This window comes from Homo sapiens, chromosome 7 (assembly GCF_000001405.40).
Source record: "Homo sapiens chromosome 7, GRCh38.p14 Primary Assembly".
NCBI lineage: Eukaryota > Metazoa > Chordata > Mammalia > Primates > Hominidae > Homo > Homo sapiens.
Genome location: NC_000007.14, coordinates 95668766 through 95695058, shown reverse-complemented (window position 1 = coordinate 95695058; position 26293 = coordinate 95668766). Strand labels below are relative to the sequence as shown.

The 26293-nt window shown below is 37.6% G+C and overlaps 1 long non-coding RNA gene across 2 annotated transcripts in view; it reads right to left on the bottom strand.

Annotated features, from left to right (window-relative positions):
• The window catches only part of LOC105375409 (uncharacterized), a 59585-nt gene that overhangs the window by 24843 nt on the left and 8449 nt on the right, over window positions 1-26293 (bottom strand). The window contains exons 2-5 of one of the 2 annotated variants that reach the window (XR_927773.4): window positions 23340-23428; window positions 22348-22505; window positions 15119-15969; window positions 12896-13039 (exon numbers count right to left, since the gene is read on the bottom strand). This is a non-coding gene — a long non-coding RNA (uncharacterized LOC105375409). Of the gene's footprint in view, window positions 1-12895; window positions 13040-15118; window positions 15970-22347; window positions 22506-23339; window positions 23429-26293 lie in introns of those variants that run through there. The other variant, XR_927774.3, reaches the window with a different exon arrangement.

Below are 26293 nucleotides of genomic sequence, written 5' to 3'. Positions count from 1 at the left end.
TTAGGCTTGGTGTGAGGAGCTTGTTTGTAGAAAAGTGAATAAAAGGTGATAATGCATCATGGTGGGGTGGGGTTGAAACAGTGAGTCTATGGGGTGAGTGCAGTAATATCAAAGGATACATTAAATGGCAAAAATGCACTGGTTAAAGATTACCGAGAACCAGCTGTGTGCCAGGCTGCAAATTCAGCAGGTTACATGTACTCGCTCTCATACTACACCAGCTCTGCAAAATGGGCAGGGTTGTGCATATTTACACATGAAGAAACTAATATTTCATATTTACACATGAAGAAACTCGTGTTTCAGAGATACTTTTTTTCATTTACCTAAAACAGCAGAGAGAAAACATGAAGCCAAGTGTTTGAGGCTCTGAAACTACATTTATCTCATCACTCTGCTCTATGGTTAGAATATTTCATCATTCATTATTTAAACATTTCTGCTCAGCTATTTCATTGAAGACTCACCAGCCCCTCCCTCTAATGCATACTTTTTAGGGGGAAAAAAAAACCTGAATCCAGCAAGCAAAATTTCTCAGTTTATCCTACAGGTGCCACTATAACCATATAATATCTCTTTCCAGCTCTTCAACTCTGATTTCTCAGGGCTGCCATAGACCAGAAATTCTAGAAGACAGAAGAAGGCAATTTATGTAGCTGACGGTTCATTTTGATAAATCTATGCGTGTGTTTACAGCTCTGTAGCTTCTATATATGTGTAATAATTGCATTTTTCCTTTTATAAAAAATTCTAAGCTTTTGAATAGAGAATATTTACATGATTCAAAAAATAGAAAGTATAAAAAGGCATATAATAAATAATCTCCCTTTCACTACCAAGTACCCTTGTCTGTCCGCTTCTTATTTGTGACCTCAAAACAGATGACCACAGTTAGTCACCTCTTGCATCATTCCAGTGTGTGTGTGTGTGTGTGTGTGTGTGTGTGTGTATACACACACATTTATATATATAGATACACATATTTATATATATAAATACTTGTTACTGCCTCATTTGATTACACAAATGGCAGCATATTATACAGACTATTCTGTACTTTGTTTTTTTACGTAAAAATATACACTAGAGATTTCTATATCAGTGCATAAAAAGTTTCTTTATATTTTTACACAACTGCATAGGATTCCGTTGTATGAATGTACAACAATTCATTTAGATAGTTCCCTGTTGATGAGCATTTAGGTTGATTTCAAGGTGCTTGCTACTTTCTGTTTACCAACTCCATTAACATAATATCAATATAATAAACCTATGAGTCAAACACTCTGATTATTACCAGGTCCCTGTGACTCATTAAAATAATCACTCCCGTTTTATCTCTGATGGTAAAGCAGAGCCACTTGGCATCTACCATTCTAGGATCTTATTATTCCCATGAAATCAGACCCTATTCCAGGGCAACATATCTATCATTATCACGTGCCTACTAAATCTGGCTTTTAAGATAGAACTTTTTAAGGCACTTTTTAATAAATAAAGGATGATGAATAAAATATCTTCTGATCTCTCTTGCTAGTTATAATTGGGTGTGGGAGGTGGCTATGCAACCTGTATATATAGAGATCCACTCAACATTTCCATATTCACAAGTCTTTGAACTCTGCTACGTACAGCTTACTCGAAAAATTCCAGCCTCATAGCCTCATTAGCTGTAGGTCACCAGTGCCCAGGCTTCAGTTAATCACAGCCAGGTGCTCCAGCCAACACATTAAACTATGAATCCTCTGTGAGCAACTCTATCTATAAATGTGGCCAGATATCATCTTATGTTTCATCTAACACACTTAGAAGCATTGCCTTTGTATGCTCCCTAGACCCCTACCAATACAAGGGGACAAGATGTCTCAACTCATTCAGTATGTTTTTTATCTCCTCTCAGAGCCAGCCTCACACTCTCCCTTTGGGCTTTGCTGGTATTTAACTCTTACCGTGGGTCTGGAGGTAAATGAGGGTTGGCGAGGCTGTGTTGGGGAGGATTGATTCCCCTTGTGAGAGAACTGCTCTAGGTTAAGTCAACAAAAGAAATTTATGTAAAGGAAATCAAAATCCCTTGGGAAAGGGGGAAAAGGGATGGGCTTCTTACCTAGGCAAGGAAGATTCAGGGAGATTTCAGGGTTCAAGACTCACAGTCTTGCATGGTTAACCAACTGTTTCTACTCCAAGTCTCAGAATCCCACTCCTTATTAACTAGTGCCTTCATTGGCACATGACACCTGGAGATGTTGAACATCTAAATGCTGCTTCTTCTCTGCATCACATACAGTCAGTCCTTGGGCCTAATATTTAGTTGTCTGCACTCTACAAATAAGAATTATTTTAATATCACCATTGAGGCTTTTTGATTCTCTCCTCGTTCTCTACATTGGAAGTTCAAGTCTTCAGGCTTTTATTTCCTTTCTCTAGCTCTCCAAGGTCATTAGGAGTAGCCAGATGACAAACTGCAATGACCACATGTTGCCATAGCTATTAAGAGCTATAGTCATTTGATCATGCCTTGCCATTCACTTCTACTGCATCCCAAACCAATGATAACCTGAGTAATTATAATATTGCTGCATACTACAGAGTACACTAGAGGATACTGTGTGCTGCATTCAGTAGAGGTCAGCCTCCTGGACCAAATGCATGGCAGAAAAAGACCAAACACATGGCAGAAAAGAATGGAAATGAGGCAGGGAGGCCAAGGGAGAATAACCGGCCTACTGGTCTTTCTCTTGTGCAAGGATGTATGCACAATAAATTCATAGAAGTGGACTTTTTGGATGAAAGGGTAGATGCATTTGTAATTTTTATAGAATTTTCAAACTTCCCCCCGTAAGGGTTCTATTATAGCAGGTTATACTTCCTCCAATCCTGTGTGTGACTGCCTTCTGCCCCACAGCTTGTCCACCGTGTGTTACCAAATGTTCTGGACTTTTATCAATATGAGAAGTGAAAAATGTTATCTGTGTAGTTTCAGCTTGCATTTCTTTTTTCTATGATGGGGTATGACAGCTTTCATATAAATCCAGTTACAAGTGGTAGAAAATGCAGCTCAATTGGTTTAAGAATAGAAATAAATATTCAGATAAAATAAAGTCAGTAGGTGCATTTGGAGACATGCCTCAATCCAAGAACCCAAAGATCTCATCAAACCTGGCTCTGCTCCAATCTCTGTCTCTGTTTCTCTCTCTCTGTCTTTCTCCCCACCTTCCCCACCTCCAGGCAGTACCAGGCTTTCATTCTCATAGCTTCAACTTGGGCAGAAAGTCCTAGGCCTGACTCTAACTGACTTCAATTTTCTCATGTACCTATCCCTGAACCATCACTATAAAGTGGGGAGGGACAGCTCTGTTTGTCCAGGCCTGAGTCACAGGAACAGCACATCCTTCTACCTGTACGTACATGTTCAGAAGTGCCCGTGTCAATACAGTGCAGCTACGCTACTCACAGTAAAAACTGTGCTCATCCACATCTCAGAGGGAGGTGAGGTGAACAACTCCAAACTCGTAAGTAAACTTGTTGTCACTCTAAGTCCAGAATCTTTGGGTGATGAATATTTTTCTTGGTCCTAATGTGGCTTCTCATAGTCCAGCAAACTATGATTAAATGAAAACCGTAATTCACATTACACACTTAACAGGGAGAGATGATCACAATTGAAGTAAAGGCTTTCATTTGGCTTTCCAGAGTTGAGGTGAGCTATTTTGTCATATGACTTTAGCCACCCTGGAAGTTTCTCTCCTGTCCTTTATCCTCCATGGCCCATTTAAAGTGAGGACTTTCAGAAGGATGCCCCTTCCATGGACTGCATCTGTTCAACATCTCATTTCCTGAGTGAGTGGGTTTAGGGGCCTGGAATTGCCTCAGGGATTGAGCAATTGAAGGCTACTGTTTGTCAGGTTAGGGTTTCTCTGGCTAAGAAACTCCCTTCAAAAGTTAAGAGACAACAGTCCTTTAAGGTGAGTTTTATTGCCCTCATTTTATAGGTGTAGCCTCTAAGCTCAGTCATGTTATGTGGTTTTTGCCTAAATCCACAAAGCTGGGGAGTGACAAAGCCAATATATGTTACCAGAGTCTACTTTTACCTCTCTATTCCACACTGATTCTCTGTGTGTGCCTTATATAAAAATAGTTTTGTTTGCAATGTCTCCATTATTTTTAGTAAAACTTTTACATCTAGCAACTCTAAGGGGAAAATTCATGCTCAATACCTGCCCTCTCCATGCTCCGCTGATTTCCTCTGCTAGTAAGAAAACAATTAAAAAACAACAACAACAAAAAAAAAAAAACAGGAAAAATTCTCACTTTGTCCTGCAGGTGCCACCCTCATCACAGAACATCTATTTCCAGCTTTATAGCACAGATCTCTCAGGGCTGCAATAGACCAGATATTCATAGAAAATGGAAGAAGCTGGTTCATTCAACTTATGCATTTCACTGCCTGGATCAGTAAGATTGGTGTATTTTTTTTTTTTTCACTGCCTGTTGTTTCACTGACTCTTCCGCCCCACAAAAAAAGCACCAAGAAACAAGCTGAAACATTTCCGTTTGTCCTGTAGGTGCCACTGTAACCCTGGGATATTTCTTTACAGATCTGCAACTGGTTCTCTCAAGGCTGGAAAGGATTAGAAATTCTAGAAGATGGAGTCTAGTCTACACACAATTCAAACTAAGGACCCCTCACACCCCGCCCCTGGGTTTAGAGTTCCATAGCTCCAACACAGAAGTGAAATCGTTTCCCCTGGAATCTTTTCACTGCCTGTTTTTTAACTGTTCTTTAGCTTGTAGGTCCTAATGAGAAAATTTAAAAATTTATATTCATTTAGTTTTTGAATAAGTAATGTTTTCATATGGCTCAAAAACAAATTAAAATGATAAAAAGAATATGCTAAAAAATTTCCCTTTTACCTATTACATATCAAAGGTTAGCAAAGTTATTAGTTTCTTTTATACTTCCAGAGACCATTTTATGCACATACAAGCAAATACTTTAAAAGCAACTTTTTATTTTGCATGATAATGTACTATAACACCTTTTTTTCTGTGTCTTAATTATTCCATATAATACTATATCTTGGAAATCCTGTATATCAGTACATAAAAATTCCTCTTTGCCCCCACCTCTCTAGCTTTGAAGTATTCCCAGTTTATGGATACACCAAAATTTATTTACCCAGTTCTCTATTGATGAACATGTAAGTTGATTGTTTTGCCATTTAAAATAATACTGAAATGAGAAGTTTTGTATAGGGTCCATTTTGCATGTGTGTCAATATACCTAAATATATCTGAGAATTCCTGCTGAATTTCTCTGCCAGTCAGAAAAAAATAATGAAAAAACAGAAAAATTCTCACTTTGTCGTGCATCTGAGGATACATGTATTTGTCATGTTTACGGGCATTTTCAAATTGCCCTTCACAGGGCTTGTACCAGCTTGTGCTCCTGGCAGCCATGTAAAAATTGTCTATTTCCCAAAAGCTTGGCCAACACAGTATGTTTTGAATTTTTGCCAATCAATCTGAGAGTTAAAAAAAAAAGTTGTATCAATTATTTTCTTATTATTATGAGTTTGAGCATCTTTTGGTTTAAGAGCCATTTGATTTAGAACTGTTTTGATTGCAAGCAATAGAAAGCCGCAGTCTACCTGGCTCAAGCAAGATGTTTATTTTCTCATCACTGAAAAGCCTAGATGGAGAATGTCCAATGGGCCTTACTCCAAAGGCTTAAATGTCACCCCCGACTGTGATTTCTCTTTCGCACTCTCGCTCTCATTCTCTCAATCTCACTCTCACTCTCACTCTCACTCCAGCTCCCTCTGTCTTGGCCCTGTCCTTAGACAGGCTCCTTTCCCCTTCATTCTCGCAGCTCCAATCTCAGCAGAGAGATCTTGCTTGCCCTGAGTCTCTCTGACCTGAATTGAACAGGATGCAGTGTTCTGACTGGCCAGGCCTGAGTCATACAACCACTTCTGGAGCCGGGGATAGAGCCAAAATCACTCAAACTAGGTGAATTGAGAGATGTGAGAGGCATGGATTCCAGGTGTCCAACAGAAGATCAAAGTGACATTAAATGTAGAAAGACAACTAAGCGCTGGCTTGGCTAACAACAGAGGTTTTAGCTGTAATTCACACCTTCAACAACACACTGTCCCTTCTACTCTCACATATCCCTTCAAAAACGCCAGTGCCTACCTAATGAAGCCATAATTAGATACCATGGAAAGTGCACTTTCCTCTTCTCAGAGGGAGACCACACAAAGACTTATCTAGTTATAGCTCCAAGTCCAGGATTTCTGGGTGATTCTTCTTAGTCAGGCCCTGGTGTGGTGGTTCCTTCTGGCTCAGCAAACTATGGCTCCAATATAACCACAAATGCAATACATGAAGGGACAGAGAAAGAATAGGATAATTATCAAAAAAATCATCCATTTGATAAGGAAGAGAATGGGAAGCAGCAAAAAGTGTAGCAATTCCTGGTGCGTAGCAATTCCCATGATGTGTAGGACTGGAAACACAAAGTATCCTGACCTGGAGGTGATGTGAGCTCCTTAGCCAATCTGGCTGCCCTGATGAGTTCTCCACAAGGATCTCCTTGTCCCTTATCTTCCGTGGCCCTGACGAACTCTGGGTGATGTAGCCCACAGGTTTGGAGGCCTCCTCTGTGGACTACATCTCTTTAGCAGCTCACTTCCTGCTGGGATAGGTTTGGGGCATTTAGGATTGTCTTAAGGGTTGAGTACTCACAGGCCTTTGTTTGCCAGGTTTGGAGTTTCTCTGGTAAAATAAGTCTCTTAAAACACTGAGGCATTAACCTGTAATATAGACAGCATATTTCACATATTTCAAGTAGACACTATAACTCAGAAATGTTAAGTTCCTTTACCTAAAGCCATACAACAGGGGTATAACAAAGAGCAGGTGACAAAGCCACGATGTTTGTAATCACGGGTGTTTAGCTCTAAGGTCTAAGCTTCTAATATACTGGTATAAAAATTATGTTTGCAGTAACTAGCAACTGTAACGTCACCTCCTTATCTCTGTCCTCCTAAACTTTGACTCCCCCTGCTCCACAAAAAAAGCACCAAGAAACAAGCTGAAACATTTCCGTTTGTCCTGTAGGTGCCACTGTAACCCTGGGATATTTCTTGATCAGCTCTGCAACTGGTTCCCTCAAGGCTGGAAAGGATTAGAAATTCTAGAAGATGGAGTCTAGTCTACACACAATTCAAACTAAGGACCCCTCACATCCCACCCCTGGGTTTAGAGTTCCACAGCTCCAACATAGAAGTGAAATCTTTTCCCCTGGAATCTTATTTCATTTTTGAATCGGTTGTGCAGTTACAGGGTTCAAAAATTAAAATGTGCAAAAACGTCTTCATTGAAAAAGAATCCCTTTATCTCTGTCCCTTTTCTACCAAGTTCCTCTACGTAGCCTTTGCCATGCTATTCCACTTTTTGTATATTCTTCCAGAGATTTTAGTGCACATGCAACTAAACATGAACATAGATTCCTTCTCCCACCCCTTTAAGCATAAATTACAGCAAGTTCTTCATATTCTTTCCCTGTATTTTTCTAAACAGCTATATATTATAGAGAACTTTCCATTATCAGTTTCTAAAATTTTTTTTATTCCTTTTAATGGATTCAGAGTTTTCCACCATGTAAATGAAATCACTTCTCCAGTGATGAACGTTTGATGCTTATTGTTTATTCTTTGGAACAATGCTGAATAGCCTTGTACATGCCTCATTTCACAGGATTGAGTATATATCTGTGGGACAAATTACACAAAAGCATAATTGCTGGGTCGAAAGATACATATATTTGCATCTTAACAAATATGTTTAATTTGCCTGCTTCAGGAGTTGTTAAACTGCTCATCAGTAAAATATGAGAAGGCCTATTTCTCCACAGCTTGGCCAATATAATGTGTTATCAATTTTAATTTAACTTTTTGCCGATATAATAGGTAGAAAATGTCATCTCATTTTTAATTTCTACTTTTATTATGAGTGAGGATGAGCGGCTTTTAGTATGCACCATTAGATATTGTTAGAAGTTTTTTTCAATTACAAGTAAATCACCTCAATCTAGCTTTAGAAAAAGAAAGTTATTGTCCTTACAACAGAAAAATCAGAGGTAAATTCAGGGCTTCCAATATGCCATCAAAGTATTCAAAGAATGCCATTGAAGTGTGCACGTCCTTTCTCTCCTCTCTCCCTTCACTCTTTCTCTCTCCTGCTCCCTCTGCCCAGGCATTCTCCATTCACTTGCTGGACTGGGAAGCTTCTAGATTGCATCCTCATAGCTCCTTCCTTGGGCTGTATTTCTTTAGCATCTCATTTCCTATTGATGCAGGTTTGGGGTTGTCTCTGACATTGAGCAATCACAGGAACATTTTGGCGGCAAGGTTGGTATTCCGTAAGTGACACAATTCACTTAAAATTTATTAGCCAAACTGTGATAGGGTAGATATTATCATCCACAATTTACAAGGGTAGAAACTATAGCTTTTAATAAACATAAGTGCCTTTGCCTAAAGCTACCCAGACAGTAAATTATAGGAACAGGATTTGTATCCAGCTGTATCTGATGGTAAATCTATGATGATGGTCAAAACACTTGTCCAACAACTCCAATAGAAAACCAATCATTACACCTCTATCCATACGCCACCTCCACCTCTCTGAAAAATAAAAATAAAAAAAGAAACATAAGATTCTTACTGTGCCCTGTAGGTGCCACTCTTGCCACGGGATAACTCTTTTCAGCACTGCAGCACCGAGCTGACATTCTAGAAGGTGGAAGAAAGCCCGCTCATCCAATTTATGCAGCTGACATTTCAGCACCAGCAATCCATATATGGCTTAGAACTCCACAACCTCACTCTACTGTTACTGTATTTTTTTGTTTAAATATATATGTGTATATATATATTTAAATATGTGTGTGTGTGTGTGTGTGTGTGTATAATTGTTGTGAAGAGTTTATGTGGTTCCCAAGATTTGAAAATACAAGGTATACAGTGAAAAAAATCCCCCTTCCAATCTTATCCCCCAAACCCATGTTCCACCTCCACCCCGTGGGTAACGATACTTCTCAGTTTATTTTCTATCTTTACTGAGATATTCATACACATACAAGCAAATACGAAAAGACATTTCCTTTCTTCTTTCTATTTTTACACAAATATTTTGCACAAACATCTTCACTTTTAAAAATTTCTCCTAACATATCTTGAAGGTATGTTCATATTTAGACAAAAAGAAATTCCTCATTCTTTTTTACAGCTCCACGTATTCCCCTGTATGATAATTTTTCATTTATCCAGGCCCTTGTTGATAGACTTTTAGACTGATATATTTTACTGTTACAGATAATAATGTAAGGAATACATATTACTTTATTTCACATGTAAGAGTCTATTTGCAGAATAAATCCTAGAAATGAAATTGCTGAGCAAAAAGGTAAATGCATTTGAATTTTGACAAACATTTCCAAATTACTCATCATATGTATTGTACCATTTTAACACTCCCACCAGCAAAGTATCATAATTCCTATTCTGTCATAAGTTACACAAAAAATGAGTTATCAATATATTGGATATTTGCAAATCTGATTGTGGAAACCTGGAGTGTCTGTGTGATTTTATTCTTATTTCTTGTATTCTAAATGAGGTTATGCATTGTTTCATTTATTAAAGAACCATTGCATTTAGCCGAGATTTTTCCACTCACAAGGGTTAGAATACCAGACTCATAGTGACTGAATCAAAGAGAGGAAATTCATTTTTCACATAACTGGACATGCATGTACTTTGATTTCAAGGTGAAGGATCAGAGGTAGGATTAGAATTTTCCTAAGGAAAATTAGAGTTGTGTAACATAAAGGAAAATGAATGAGTACCAAGATGGGTACCCAGCATCTACATGTATCTCTCTCCCTATACATACATCTCAAAAAGTGCTCATGTCTACAGAAAAATTTTAAAATCATTTACTCCTTATCTAGAGGGAGGCAACCTAGTGTTTATTACTTCAAATCTGTAATATCTAAGTGATATGCATTCTTGCTTATATCTAGACTTGGTTTCTCATGGCCCAGTAATTTATAATACATCATAACATTAATCATCCTCAATCAATATACAAACTATTAATTGATAAAGGATAATATAAGTGCCGTAAAGACTCCATTGTAAGCACAGAAAATGGGAAACACAACAGTGCTGCCTAGAACACAGTCCATGTCATGTCTTAGAGTTCCTTAGCAATATAATCTGGCCCTTCTGGTTTTGTTCTCTGGAAAATTTTTCTTTGAAATGGTCTGTGTTTGGCTGTGACTTTGAGCTGCCCACTTCCTGTCGTGTGAGTTTGGAGGACCTGGGATTGCCTAAGGTTTGAACATCCCTGACTTACCAAAGTTCTGAGTTATAAAGAGATAACTTTAGCATGCTAGACATTTAAAGGAAAGCAATATTGTCTACATTTTACAAATGAGGAAATGAAGGCTTGGAAATATTAGGAATCTTAGCCCATAGTCATAAAGATATGAGTGACAAGAGCAGTGTCAGAATCCAGGTATATTTCCTTCTTTCAGCATACTGTCATCCCAATGTGCTCTCTACAAATTGGCTTTGTTGGTAGTGCTTATATTGGTAATTATCAAAACTTTTATTTCTAGCAACAGGAAGCAGAAATCCATGGTCACAACTCCCAACCACGTTTTCTAAACTCTTGTCTTTAAAGGGGGACCAAAATAATGAAACTTCTCAATTTGTCCTGTAGGGGCCATTTTAATCATGGAATATCTCTTTTGAGCACTACAGCCCTGATCTTTCAAAGCTGCAATAGATCAGAAATTCTGGAAGGCAAAGAAGTTTGATGTGTCAATGTACGCAGCCAACAGGTCAGTGCCAGGATCTCTACACATGTGTTTAGTGATTTATCATTATAATAAATCAGTTAGGACTCTGTTACTTACTTTAAAATAAATTTATTGGATTTGTAAAAATAAGGAATAAATTTATATGAAAAGAATAAGGGAATATTCAGTGAAAACAAAAACAAAAAGCTCCTTTTCAACTTTGTCTCATCTGGTAAGTCCTCATGCCTGCTTCCCAAATATGTAACCACTCATTATTTTCTTCCATGTCCTTCCAGAGATTGACATATATTTGAATAAACATTTTCTGTCCCCTTCCTTTTATACAAGTGGTAGCACAAAATTAATTGATTCACCAAACAACATATATCAGAGTATTCCACCATGTGGTTGTACCATACTTCATTTAACCAGTCTCTCTTGATGGACATTTAGGCTCATTTATATCTTTTATTGTTATAAACAATACTATAATGAATAGCCTCATATATTTAGCATTTTTCACATGTATAAGTATATTTGTGGAATAAATTTCTAGAAGTAGAATTCCTGGGTTTAGTCCATGAATTTTTTATTTTAATAAATATTCCCACATTGCCCTTCATAAACATTGCAAACAGCTTATATTTCATCGACAGTGTATGAGCGTACCCACTTTCTCACAGCTTGGCCAACATAGCCTGTTATTGAACATTTAGATCTTTTCAAATCAGATAGGTGAAAATGGCATCTCTTTTCATTTTAATTTGTTTCTCTTGTTTTGAGCAAGCTCGAGCAACTTTTCATAAGTTGATAAGAGACAATTGAAAAAGTCAGAGGACTTTTACAATTGCAAGTGTCTGAAAACCAAACACTATCGGGCTTAAAGAAAAACTGGTGATTTTTTAATAAGTTTATGTAGATATTTTAAGAACACTTAGCTTCCAGATTTCTGGGGCCTTGCCTCTAGGTCATGAAAATCTCCAGAAAGCAACTATGGTCAGTCTCTCCCTCTGCCCCTGTGCTAAGGGACAGTGATACCTTCTTGGTCCGGGGGCTGTTGTTTTCCCTCCCAGATGCTGACTCATGACCATGTGTGATTCTGGGGCAAGCAGCTCATATGGAGGTGTGGGGATGATCTACTTACAAGACTAATTCCTCTTAGAATAGACTTTTTTTAATTTAACTTTTATTTTAAGTTCAGGAGTACATATGCAGGTCTGCCATACAGGCAGACTTGTGCCATGGGGGTCCGCTGCACAGACCACTTTGTCACCCAGGTGTCAAGCCCAATACCCAGTAGCTATCTTTGCTGATCCTCTCCCTACTCCCACACTCCACCTCCCAACAGGCCCCAGGGTGTGTTGCTTCCTTCTGTGTGTCCATGTGTTCTCATCATGTAGCTCCCACTTATAAGTGAGAACATGCAGTATTTGCTTTTCTATTCCTGCGTTAGGATAGATTTTTCTATCCATTTGGTTGTCGTTCCTCAACCTATAGTGCAAACTCCTCACAGAGTTAATAAATTCAGGCCTGGTTCCGGTTCAAGATGGTTGCCATAGTCACCTTGTCACCCTCAAGAGGGAGTGTTTTTCTCCTTCTACGTGAACCCAGTGGAAGCAGGGTCTTCACTGAAATTTCTTTGCCCTCTCTGCTCTATTCCCTAAAATCTGGTCTTTATTTTTTCCTTTTCAGTCAACATTTCTGCAACACTCATCTCTCCCTCTTCCACCCTTCATAGTCTTGTATTCCTTTTTAACATTACCACAACATACATTTGTCTTCATGCACCTGTTATTGAACGGACACAACCTTGTCCATTCATTTGCTTTACTGACCTAGCTTTTATAGGCACCTGTCTCTGAGACCTACAGTTACTCTCCTGCATAATTTGAAGAAAGGAAGCACAAGGAAAGCCATACTTTCAAATTCCAAATTTAAATCGGGAGAAGAAAAAACGTTCCAGAGTTTAATGCTTTGCCCACATGATGCCAAACTAACTATTCAAGAAGAAAATTGCTGTCCTTCCAATAAATTCAGTTTTTTTATTAAATTGGTTTAATTGACCAAATGTTTTGCTTTTAGATGAACATAGCTTCAGCCTGCTGTTTTGTGAGCTTGTTAGAGGCCATAGGTTGATTGGAAAAGCCAGGAAATCCCAATGATAACCTAGGAAACATTTCAAAGTATCAGAGGCATCTACTGTAAATGTCGTCTTTATTATAGCCTCTTCACAAAGCATCTGTGTGTATAACATATTAATGTGGAAAGAACAAGAGCTTTGGAGCCAGCCAACCTACATCAAACTTAGCCTCAGTCTCATCTTTTTGCTTTGATGCTTAGAAAATTATTAAACCTCTCTGAGCTTATCGATATACAATAAAATAATTAAGGATCTATTTCCCAATCACCAAACATTTAATCTACCATGATGTAAGCCCCATGATATTTGAAACATAGTAGGTAGCCAGTAATATGTGTTGTAGTGCCAACTATACCCCCAGACATTGTGTAAATGCCTATGTATACAAGTGGTGATCAAGACAGAGTTCCCTACACACAGGGAAGGTTTAAAACTATTTGGTGAACTGGACGAAAAGGCAGGACATTTCAGTGTAGTTATGGGTGGGTACATGGAGGAACACATGAATTTGGGAAACTACACACAGTTCCCTATACCTATACAGTAGCATGGTGTGGAGAGGAATGGTGAGCCATGAGTTTGAGGAGATAAGACAGGGAAATGTCAGGCAGCATCTGGTGGTCAGGCAAAGGCCTTTGGCTTCTATCCCAAAGCAAAGGGGGAACCCCTGAAGGATCTGAGACAAAGAAGTGACATAACTGGATGCATGTTCTTAAATGTTCAGTCCAGCTGCAGTGTGGAGGAAGAATAGGGAGGAAGCAGGACTCTGGAGAAACTTGTACAGGCAAGAAATAATGGTAGTCTCAACCAGGAAATGGCAATGGAGATGAAAAGAAGTGAATAAATGTGAGAGATATTAAAATGTTGAAACTGAGTGTAATGATTGATTAGACAGGGAGACTTAAAGGAATTGGAGAGGAATCTGAAATTTCTAGCTCTTACAACTATGTGGATAGTAGTACTATTCTAATAAACACAGAAGATGAACAAGAATTTTTTAGATGAGTGGGAAGAAATAATGAAAAATATAGTACATATGATCATCATGAGATATTAATGACATATCTATTGGAGTTGTCCAATTGGTTGTTACGTATATGGGTCATACTTAACAGAGAGAGCTGAGAGATATTAGTTTGAAAATCATCGGCATGTAAATGCTAACTGAAACCAGAAGTAGATGAGATTGGTCAAGGTGAATGTGCAGAGCAGGAAATAAGAGTCTAGACTCTGCAATGGTCTTCCACCAAGCAATCCTTAAGGCTATTATTGTGAACCCTGGTTGGATGCTAGAATCACGGGGAGCTTTTCAAGAATAGTCATGCCAGGACCCCATCACAAACTAATGACATCAGAACTCTGGGATTGAGACCCAGGCATCAGTATTTTTTCCAAAGCTCCCAGGTGATCATGGTTAAGCTCTGACTTAAGGAGTAAAGACAAAAGAGAGTTTGGATAAAAATCCAGGTAATGGCTGGGTACAATGGCTCACGCCTGTAATCACAGCACTTTGGGAGGCTGAGGTGGGTGGATCACTTGAGGTCAGAAGTTCGAGACCAGCCTGGAACCAACATCGTGAAACCTCATCTCTACTCAAAATACCAAAATTAGCCAGGTGTGATGGCAGGCACCTGTAATCCTAGCTACTCAGGAGGCTGAGACAGAAGAATCCCTTGAACCTGGGAGGCGGAGGTTGCAGTGAGCCGAGATCATGCCACTACACTCCAGCCTGGGCAACAGAGCAAGACTCCATCTCAAAAAAAAAAAAAAAAAAAAAAAAATATATATATATATATATATATATATCTCCAGGTAATGTGGTGTCATGGAAGTCCAAAGGAAACAGTGTTTGAAACAAAAGGAGTTGTCAATGGTTTTATGTGCCTTGAGGAGTGGCAAAAAATACCACTGATAACTTGAACAGTATTGGGAGTGGGGAAAGTGAAGGAGGATTGGCAGATTGCTATAGAATATTAGTTAGGATTTTGATACTAACAGCCTCTAAAAGCATTGCTTAAATAAGACAGAAATATATTTCTCATTCAAGTCCTAGAAGCCTAGGGATGTCGGTTCAGTCTGGAATGGCATTCCATTGTTTCTATTACCTAAAGTTTTCCATCTTGTTCCCATGTCATGTGTGGCTTCCATTCCAAATTTAATTTATGGTCCATGTTGGCTGGTGGCATTTGAGCATTTCATCCACATTGCACCAGAAGAAAAGAGGTAAGAAACAAGAAGGTTATACTCTCTCCATTTAAGATAATTTCTCAGAAGATACACATATCATTTCCATTAGCATCCCAACAATCAGAACCTAGAAACATGGGCACACAGAACTGGAAGGGAAGCTAGAAAATGATATTTACTCAAGTGCCTTTACAGTCTTTAGCGTCTTTACAGTCAGGTGCCTGGCTAAATGCTAGGGTATTATTACCATGAAAAAGAGGAAGACTTGATAGGGGACAACAGCTAATGATCTCTTTTAAAAGTGTGTTGAGAAATAAAGGAAGCAAAATAGAAATAGAATATAAGAAAGTCTTTGAAGATGTTTGGCTTTGTAGAGGAAAAGAGCATAAATCATTCACTACCTGGAGATAAGAGGTTATAGGGCAGTTTTTAAAAATGGCTTGAATGTTGATTTAGAATGGGAGAGATTTAAATGTTTAGATGTGGTTGAGAGGATCCAGCAGAGAAAGTAGGTTTGTATTTAGGGAAGACACAGGAACATTTGAAGAAACCACGTACCTGAACAGGTAAGGAAGGGCATCTTTTTTGTTGCTTTTTTTTTTTTTTAGCAGAGCTTCTCAAACTTGAATTATGTTGTTAAAAAGCAGATTCTAGGCCGGGCGCGGTGGCTCACGCCTGTAATCCCAGCACTTTGGGAGGCCGAGGCGGGCGGATCACGAGGTCAGGAGATCGAGACCATCCTGGCTAATACGGTGAAACCTCGTCTCTACTAAAAATACAAAAAATTAGCCGGGCGCGGTGGCGGGTGCCTGTAGTCCCAGCTACTCGGGAGGCTGAGGCAGGAGAATGGTGTGAACCAGGGCGGCGGAGCTTGCGGTGAGCCGAGATAGCGCCACTGCCCTCTCGCCCGAGCAACAGAGGGAGACTCTGTCCTCTGTCTCAAAAAAAAAAAAAAAAGAAAAAGAAAAAAAAAGCAGATTCTGACTCAGTAGGTCTACGTGGGTCTGAAGTTCTGCATTTCCAAGAAGTTTCCAGGTGATGTTAATGCTGCTGTTCCTAGCTCACGTGTTGGAAGGATTAAATCTAGGCAGGAGAATGGGTGGGTAATGAGGCTGGGTGTAGATCAGCTATGTTGTAGGGAGGACAGAAGGAAGTTGAGGGTCCTACCTAAAGGGCTTCTTTCCCTTAGTAAAGTAGTATTTAAGTTTACTTACCAAGAATTAGGAGAGAGGCAGTACAGTAGGAGATTTCAGGAGAATGGAGAAAGTTTGCAATAGCTCTGGGGTAAAGAGTTGAAAGAGATGGCTTGAGAAATACAGGATGGCCAATGTTGAGGGCTTAAATGGGGCAAAGAGTGCATACTGGCAATGAAATCAATCTGCATGCTCTATGGTTTTCTGTAATAGTCCTCAGCAGCCCAGGTGTAGAAACATAGAAGATGGATTGTCTTGAGAAATACATTTTATTTCATTTGGTGAATATCCAGCACCATGCCTGGTTCCTAGTAGCACACCAAAATGCTAACACTCACTTCTCCAGTGGAAACCATAGAAGATACGTAATATTAAGTTGGTGCAAAAGTAATTGCCAAAACCACAGTTACTTTTGCACCAACCGAATAATAGGACTTTGGCAAAAACTGCAATTACTTTTACTTTGGCAAAACTGCAATTACTTTTCCACCAACCTAATAATAAGACTAACTGTCTGGGCCTCCCAGCTGACCTTTTACTTATATCTCATCTTCGTGGGCATCACCCAAACCAATCTGCCTGTTACCTGCTAATTTTCCCCTATCTCTATGCAATGTTTTCCGCCTTTGCTAGGCCTAGAAATAATCTGGAGTAGTTGTTAAAGACAGATTTTAGCTACTTCCAGAGATTCCTGCTCAATAGATTTGGGGGTGAAGTTCACTTGTATGTGATTTTAAAAACAGTCTAAATGATCCCAATGCAGTTGGTCCATAGATGGCACTTTGAGAAATAACTGTTCTCAATCAGGCATCTTTGCAATGAAACATCCCATCACCTCTGCTATTTTATTTGGGATACCTGGAATTCCTCTTTGCGCTCATTGTTTACTTTAAATCACAGTTTAATACTAATTTCTTCCAAGAATCCTTAGCTATTAATTTTACTCCATATTTATTAGAGAATGAAGAATGGAGCACACTTCTTCAGCATTTTTATAGAGATGCCTGTATGATTATATGCATGGTGTTATCCTGTGCTCGCTTGTTATGTCACATAACATTATTTCTATTTTCCAGTCCTCCATCACTACTTTAGACTGTGATCCCTCTAAATTCAGGAATCCTATCTCTGACCAGCATGGTGTTTAACCCTGAAAGTTACCCTGAAACTATATGCTGAGCGAATAGATAGGTGAACAAATATGAGAGTGCATGGAGAATCAAGAAACAGAAAAATTGATGGGAATACTAAAAGCAAGCAGTGTAGTGGAAAACAAAGATGTGATAAAAAGAATAAAGTAAAATAAAAAAACAGGATTTCACGGGAAGAGAATCATTAGAGCCTAGAGGACAATGTGGGTGATTTAATCACAAATAGTTTTAAGAAACATGAGAAAAAGAGTCTGCAGGCAATTTGAAATAGACTCTTAAGTACCTGACAAACCTGAGAAAAACAGGTAGGGAAGAAATCAGTGCATTGAAACCCAACAAAACTTCAATGTACCATCCCTTTTCAATCACTTGGAAGGAAAATGATGTGTTTAGTACATCCTCCTTCTTCATGTTTGGATCTTTAAATAGGGTATTTGGATTCACAGACTGTAGCCTCCTCAGATTGTCTCTCCTCCCAGCACACTGCCGTGCTTTTTAAATGACACCAGACTTCCAAGCAAGATTGATTGTAAATTTGAAAAGGTTATATGTGATGTAATGAATAACACATGCTACCCCCTCGAGCGTATCTCCAGAAGGGCATATACCTAGGATCCTGTGTGTTCTTATCATTCAGAAAAGATTGGAAGGGAATCTTTCTGGGCAAGCTGAAAGAAAGTTTCCTATTATGCTCATTTAATAAACTGCCTTATCTTTTGTTCATTCACTTTATGAACATACAATTATTAAGAACCAACTATTTTTGGCATTCCATAAATGTTTGTGGATAAATGTGTGGATGAATGGATATTATATGCAAGTCAGAGTGAAAGAGTCTATGAGGATATTAACATAACACAAACAGAGGACCTACTCTTAGTAGAGATTACAACCTACTAAGGAAATCAAGACATGAAAAACACTTTCTAAGGAAAAAGTGGTAAGTCCTATCACAGAGTATACATATTGCTCTGAGAATAGAGAATACAAGGGAAAAGGGGTTATTTCAAATGGGTGTTGGAAAAGGATTTTTGCAAGAAGTTGTGTTTGAGTTGGACTTTGAAGGATCTGGACATGCAGAATCCAGGAAAGTTTATCTGGGGCAAAGAGCAGGAAGTGAAGTGTGTTGAGATGTGTGGAAAATGGAGAAGAGTTTTATTTGGATCAGCTCTGGAGTTTATGAAGGACCACACTGGGCAACAATGAGAGTTTGCATGGAGATCTTTTAAAGTTTTAGATTCATAACATAGCCCAGGATGGTTAACTGCTAATATTTATTGAATGATTACTATGGTCCAGGCATACTGTAATCACATAAATTATCTCAACTAAGGTTGACAGTAATCCCATACATAGGTCCATGAAGTCCTCCTTATCCAAATATAATTGGTGTTGGGAAAGGCTAGGTTAAAAAAAATCCCACTTGAAACAGAAACCTTGATTTCATAGTAAATTGTGCGTATGTGGTTGTGGGTTGGAGGTGGGGAGAGTTTGATTAGAGCATATCTTTTAAAAATGATTAACATTATAACACACATTTATTTTATCTTACATCAGCAATACATACACACACATTGTAACTACAACTTGTACTAGTTCTTAAAATGAACAAAGAATGATTCAAATGGATGTTTTTGGGGGGAACACACACTTTTACCAAGAAAATTACACGATTGCATAATACAATATTCTTTAGGTTCGTATTTTTTAAAAGATCATAAAGAGGAAGTTTTTAACAAGATCATAAAAAATTCTGATCTTTATTTTCATGAAGAACTCAAATTGTGATTTTCCAAAATTTGAGTTCTTCATTATTTTCCTCGGAACTCCAATATGAAATTTAGTCTCCTTTGAAATGCCTATCATGTCATTGCTCTGGTCAATTGTTTTTTTCATGAAGTGACTTTGTGTGTGATTCAGATATTTCTCCACTTCTATTGAGTTTGTGACACCTTGCGTTAGTTGCTCTGTTCACATTTTTGTTTTACATTCATTTTAATTATATTCTTAATGATCATTACCATTTTCACAAAATGCAGTTTCCAGTGTTGGACGGTCAGTGAGAGTCTGATCAAAGCAGACATTGCTAGGCAGAGTCAAGGAGCTTGAGTGGGGGATTCAACTGAAGCGGTCAATTCATGAGTCAAGGTTTTCAAATTATGACACATTTTATTATTTTTATTTTCCTATAAAAGCTTGGCCAATAAATACTTGGATGATGAGAGCTCCCTGTGTTTTATGATTCCCATGTTACAGATTGGAAAACTTAAAGGCCCAGGAAAGTCAAACAATGTGCTCACCGCCGCATGTCTCGTAAGTGATAGAATCGGAATTCCAAAGCAGCTTGACTTTCGTGGGTAACCACTAAGCAGTGTAGGGGGTGGGTCAAGTGCCCCTAGTTGTCCATTAGGGATAAATCAAGGCTTCAAATTTACAAAACACTAGAAGCTCATCTTTCCTACATTGCATGCTAACTTATAAGTGTTCTTTTTCTCCTAACTTTAATATTAGACAGAGAGTTTATTTTCTTTTTTATAAATCAGTATAAACTCGCATTTTTAAAAAATTTTCTATTTCCATAGGTTCTTAATTCTCAATCTGCGTTTTTCCTAATATTTGTCATCAATGCATTTAAAGATTGGTTAGCTTAAACTCACAAGTTTTGATATAACAGTCTCTTCATTGATCCATAAATTATTTTGAAGTATGTTTTTAAATTTCTAAACAGAAGGATTAGTACTTTTTGACATTTACTTTTCATCTTTTTGCATTATGATTTGAGAATATCATCTGCATGATGTAGTCTCTAAATCCACTGGTGTTTGTCAAGGCTTGTTTTGGAACCATTATATGGTGAATTTTTGTAAATGATGTGCGTGTGTTTAAAAAGAATGTGTATTCTTTAACTCTTGGGTATGGGATTCTTCTATAAGTAAATTAGATCAAACTCATTAATTTTTCTGAAATATATTTCAAATATTTACTATTTTTGTTTGCTTTATTCATTAATTATGGAAATAATTATATTAAAGACTTACAATATAATCGAGATTTGTCAATATTTCATTGTAGTTTAATCAATTTTTTATTATTTTAGGTTTATTATTATTATTATTAATATCTTGAGGCAGAGTGTTACCCTGTTGCCCAGGCTGGAGTACAGTGGCGTGATCTTGGCTCACTGCAACCCCCACCTCTAAAGTTCAAGTGATTCTCATGCCTCGCTTGGCCCCCTGAGTAGCTGGGATTACAGGTGTGGGCCAACATGCCCAGCTATTTAGGTTTATTGTTTTTAAGTTTAGAATTTTTGTATCTTGTGTGCTTTTTTCCTAATAAATATATTTTAAATTTTACTTAAAGACATTTTGTCAGATGAATTGTAGCTATACCAGCTTTCTTTTGGTTATTGTTTTCTTGGAATAATTTTTCTCTCACTTTTTTTCTGTGTTGTATTTTGAGTGTATTTTTATAAGCAGCAGAGCTGATATTTTAAAAATTCGTTTGAATATGTTCTTTTAATTCGTGAGTTTAGATCATTTACATTTATTATGATTATGAATATATTTGGATTGATTTCTACCATCTTATTCTTTCTATTTAGCATACTTTTTTCCTTCTTCTTAGGATTCTATTTAATTGACAGTTTTTTAATCCATCAGCTGTCTGTGGTTTAAAAGTTATATATTCTATTTCTCTTCCTTTAGTAGTGTTTTGAACTTTTAACGTGAATTGTCAATATAACAATGCCTAAACTAAATCAATATTTTACCTTTTTTCTCACAATTAAAAGGATTTTAAAATGCTTTAACTCCAAACTTGATTTTTTTAACTTTCTATTCTTTTCTAGTGTTTTCATTCCATCCTGTTTTTATATTTTCAAATCTGTCTATTGTCATTGCAATGCTTAGTTAGATACCAATGTTTATAAATGTGGTTGCTCATCACTGCTTCCTTTATCCCACTCCTTCATGAATTTTATTACCTTTTTTATGGAGCACATCATTTACTAGTTCTCTTTAGCAAGGGTCTTTGAGTAAAAAAGTTTTTAGTCATTGTTTCAAACAGGTTCTTAAATAACAATTTAGCTGAGTATAAACTAGGTTGACAGTTACTTTTCCTTAGCCCTTTAAATACATTCTTTCGCTACTTTCTCCTCTCTATTTTTGCTATTGAAAAGTTTTTTGTTTTTGTCTAATAGTTGTGGCTTTCTTAGTTAAGTAACTTCTGTGTTTGCTTTTAAGATTTTAAGCTCCACAGCTTCACTGTGATGTATTTAGGTGTAGATTTATTTTTATTTATCCTTCTTGAAAATGATGTGGTTCTTGATTTGATGAATTTATACATTTTGCCACTTCTGGAAAATTATTACAAGAATTTTCAAGACTATATCTCTCCCATTTTTTCTGTTCTGTTCTTTTGTACTGCCTATTAGGGGTGCAGGGACCTTCTAATTCTACCTTCCATGTTTCTTAAATCTTAATCAATTTCCCTTTCTCCATGTCACAATTTCCCAGTGCAATACGCTGTCTAATATCCCCAGGTAGAGCTTTCAGTTCATCAATTATTTAGCTGCTTAATCTGTTCTTTGTCAATTTAAAACTTTTTATCTGCTATTGTTTTTCCTATTCTCCTTTATCCAATGTGCCTGCATGTTTCTCTTTTTTTTCATATTTTCTTATTCCTTTTTAGGGTTTCAATTCTTTCACGTCTTACTTAGTTTAAGCATACTTCTGTTATATTCTGCTTCAGACTGTCGTCATATTATCTCAAGTTTTAGGTTGTAATTCTGCTGTTTTTACTCACTCTCACTGTGGTGAATGCCTTCCTTGTATGGTTTGTAATTTTTGCCATGAGCTCTCTTCTTTAGCCTGTTTCCTTCTATTCAAATTCCTTCTGGCCTGCATGTGAGAGTGTCCCTCCAGAGTGTTTGGTTTCAGTCAGGAGCTTGGGGTATTATTGGCCTAGGGATTAATATAACAACTTTATGTTAATTTCTCAACCTGGGATTGAAGGTTTAACCTACTTGAGTAGACTAAATTCAAGCTCTAAACCTATTTGAGGCACAGATCTGTGGTATTAGATTATCGGGGGTAACTCTTTGCTTTGATTTCTTCACCCAGAACCCTGGCAGAAACAAATAAATGTATCTGTTGTCTTTCTTGGCTAGGGATCAAATTTATTTCGTAGTGCACTCTTAGATTAAAAGTGCAATACTTTCAGGGCATCAGCTTTATGTGGCACACTTGGGTCTGCTCAGCTGCTATAACAAAATACCATGAACCCAGTGTCTTAAAAAACAAGGCATTTGTTTTCTCACAGTTCTGAATGCTGGAAGTCTAAGAGCAGGATGCCAGCATAGTATGGTTCTGGTGAGGGCTCTTTTCTTTGCTTGTGGACTGTTCCTTCCCACTATGTCCTCACATAGTGGAGAGAACTAGAGAGCAAGTTCACCAACGTCTCTTTTTATAAGGGCCCTAATCCTATCATAAGGGCCCCATCCTCATATCCTCACGTAACCCTAATTACTTTGGGAAAAGGAGGTCCCATCTCAAAATACTATCACACCGGGGGTTAGGGCTCCAGCATAGGGATTTGAGTGGAGGGACACAAATATTTAGGTCATAACAGGCCCAATATGTCATCTACTGTCCTTTTGTGGGTGTTAAAACCAGGCTTCCAGTTTACCAAGAGAAAGGCCCTCAGTCTCGCCCCACAACCTACTACAGCATCAGGTTGAACCCTTAGTGAACCAACTGTCCAGCATGTCTAGGGTTTTTCAGGTCTTCTAATGTTACCTTATTGCTGGAAACAGAAGCCTCTCAGATTCAGCTTTCACCTCTGGTTTGTGTGATCTAAACACGTCTTCTGATTTTCCATTCCTTTCCTATTAAAAAGGGATGAAGTTCACCAGTATAATTCTCATTCATCTCATACAGTAATTCTGAGAAAGAGCAATTAGAGATAGCAATATGTTGCAAATTAAAAATGTTAAATATAGCAAACATTAAAAATGTTAAATATAGCAAAAGCAAACAGAGATTCTCTAATAATGCATTTTAATTATAATGCATTGATATAACATATTTTATCTGAGAATATTAAAGTATTTTACAACTACATTATAATTCCTTGAAGAGACCATGAATGTTTCCAACCCAGCAACCATAGAACAATTAGAGGCCATTTGGGATTTGATTGTAAATTGATTATTATTGACTCCCTTTTTAAAGACTGTAATACAATTCCTGGAGTGTTATACCATTGGTGAAGAGGTTATTTTTCTCAGAACACGTGTTGAGTAATCAGAATGGCTGATTTCAAAGATGCATTCTACAGGGCAAACAGTTCAAAGATAAGTGAAAAGGAGCTAAATGTACAAATAGTCTTGATTGGAAGCAGTATAAACATTGAGAATGGATGGCCCAGGAGTCTCTTTATTGTCTTGCTATAGTCCCATGGTTTTGGGACAGATTATATTTTCCCAGTGTCTTTTCTCTTTTTCTTCAGAAATAAAGAAAAAAAGATTAGTTGAAAATATTTGCTATTAAACATGAGGTCAAAGCTAGTGTAGTTATCACCTGGAGGAGAAGGCGAATGGAAAAACTAAGTTGACTTTTTCGTAATTTACAAGTAGCAGAGTCTGTTTGGGGCCTCCAATTCATGGTAAAGTTTATCCTTCAAAGACCAACTAACAATCGTGGAATCAAACTGGCTTCCATGGTATCCTCCAGAACAAGAATCAGTTCAAACTGAAGCCAGACCTCCCTTCAGAAACATGTAATGCTTGATATTAAGGATTTATTTACAAAATTCAATCTGGGAAAGAAGATGATACCAAACATTAGGGTTAGCTTATTAAAGCTCCCGGGCATTCTTCCTGCTAGTATTTAAGGAGTGTAAGTACCTAGGAATAATATTCAGGCAACTGATATGGCCATAATAACTGCTACAATATGGAACGACTACCACTCCATACACTAACCAATTTCCAGTCTTAGCTCTAATGTAACTCATCTGAGTTGACCACAACTTGCAATGGTTTGATTCGCTGTACAGTTTGGTTTGGCGTTTCAGACCCTAGTGTTTTATATCCAGACTTCACCCTGATCCTGAAAAGCAAATGGACTGAGTATTCAAGTGCCTGGCCACTCAGATCCTTTTTGGTATCCCCACACTATAACCAGAGTAAGTTCTCATAAGATAGTGAGATATCATTGATTAAATTTTTTGCATATTGTCCTAGCCTAAGCCTACAGGCCCAAATCAAACCAAGGCCTCCAGATTCCAACTTCTAGTGTTTCCAATATATGTATCTCAACAATCTGATTTTATGAGGGCTCCGTGCTTTGTTTGAAAGGTTCATTTTGACTTCCTATATTGCTGACCATAATGCTACATGTGCTCTATTGCACTTGATCCTAGAGTTTTTGATTTCTTAGATTCAATATACAAGTAAATCAATACTTAAGTATTTTGCACACTGACATAATTTTATCAACTTTTTAATCTTACCACTATTATTACATGCGAGAAAGAGCAGGACATAAATTGTAATAAAAACACTTAAAGAACTTACCATATGAAAAACTCACTATGTTGTCTTTGCCTTTTTCATTTTGCCAAGGACTAGAGATAAAATTAACCACAGACTGGGAGTGATCAGTGGCATTTGTGAACCTGCACTGTACTCCATACACTAACCAATTTCCAAGCTTAGCCCTAATGAAACTCTGCTTTAACCACAACTCCCAGTTGTTTGATTTACTGCGCAGTTTGGTGTTTCAGATCCTGGACTTCACCCTAACCCTAAAGTATCAAATGAAGACAGACTTAGCATTAGCAGTGTCCTTTCACTTCCTCCCACACTGCTAGAGGTGAGCATGAGCCCTGCAATTCTAAACATTTGCATTTGCTTCTCGGTCCCAAGGCTGGCCCAGAACCCATATTTTATAGTCTATCTTTTTCTTCTTTCCATGTAACATGTACATTTATTTTCATGTGTATTATCTAATAATATTGGAGTTTTCCTGGCAACATGAATTGCTCCAATAAGAATATGCAACTACGTAATTAGACCTTGATACCAGGGGAGATAGTCAATACCTTTCCTGTGGAAAATTGTTTTCTGGCTTTGAATAAAAGTATCTGCAAGGACCTTTCATCTCTATACTCGACTACATCAAAGAAGGAGTGCTTTTGATGCATATTATAAAACTACAGAAAAGGATTTTATCTGACATTTGATAATTGTACCAAACTATGTGTGGAAGAAAGAAAACGCTTCAGCAGCAAAATAGAAAGGCATAATTGATTACACTATTAGGAGCTGTTACAAATGAAACAAACAGCATAAGATTATAAGAAGATTCAGCTAATAATGTATTTCTGACATCAATAAAATTAGATGTTTTCATCTGTGTTGTGAACTTTCTGATTCATTTTAGCCCTGTGTATTATTCTATTACGACATGATGATTCTCATTATGCTTCCCCAAGCCTATCAACAGATAGAGCCTAGATTCTAATTATCTCTATATTTAGTCAAAATAGTCAGGCTTCATCTGTTTCCAGAACAGTTAATGTATTTGGCTCATTACTCTGAAATCACTGAGTACAATTTAGCTCACTGAAAACGCATCCAGCATTAGCTTATGTAAGGACCATAAAGGTCCACTGCGTGATGATTTTATACTTTCTCTATTGCAGTGAGTCAGGATATAATAGCTACTACTGTTGATCACTATGTACC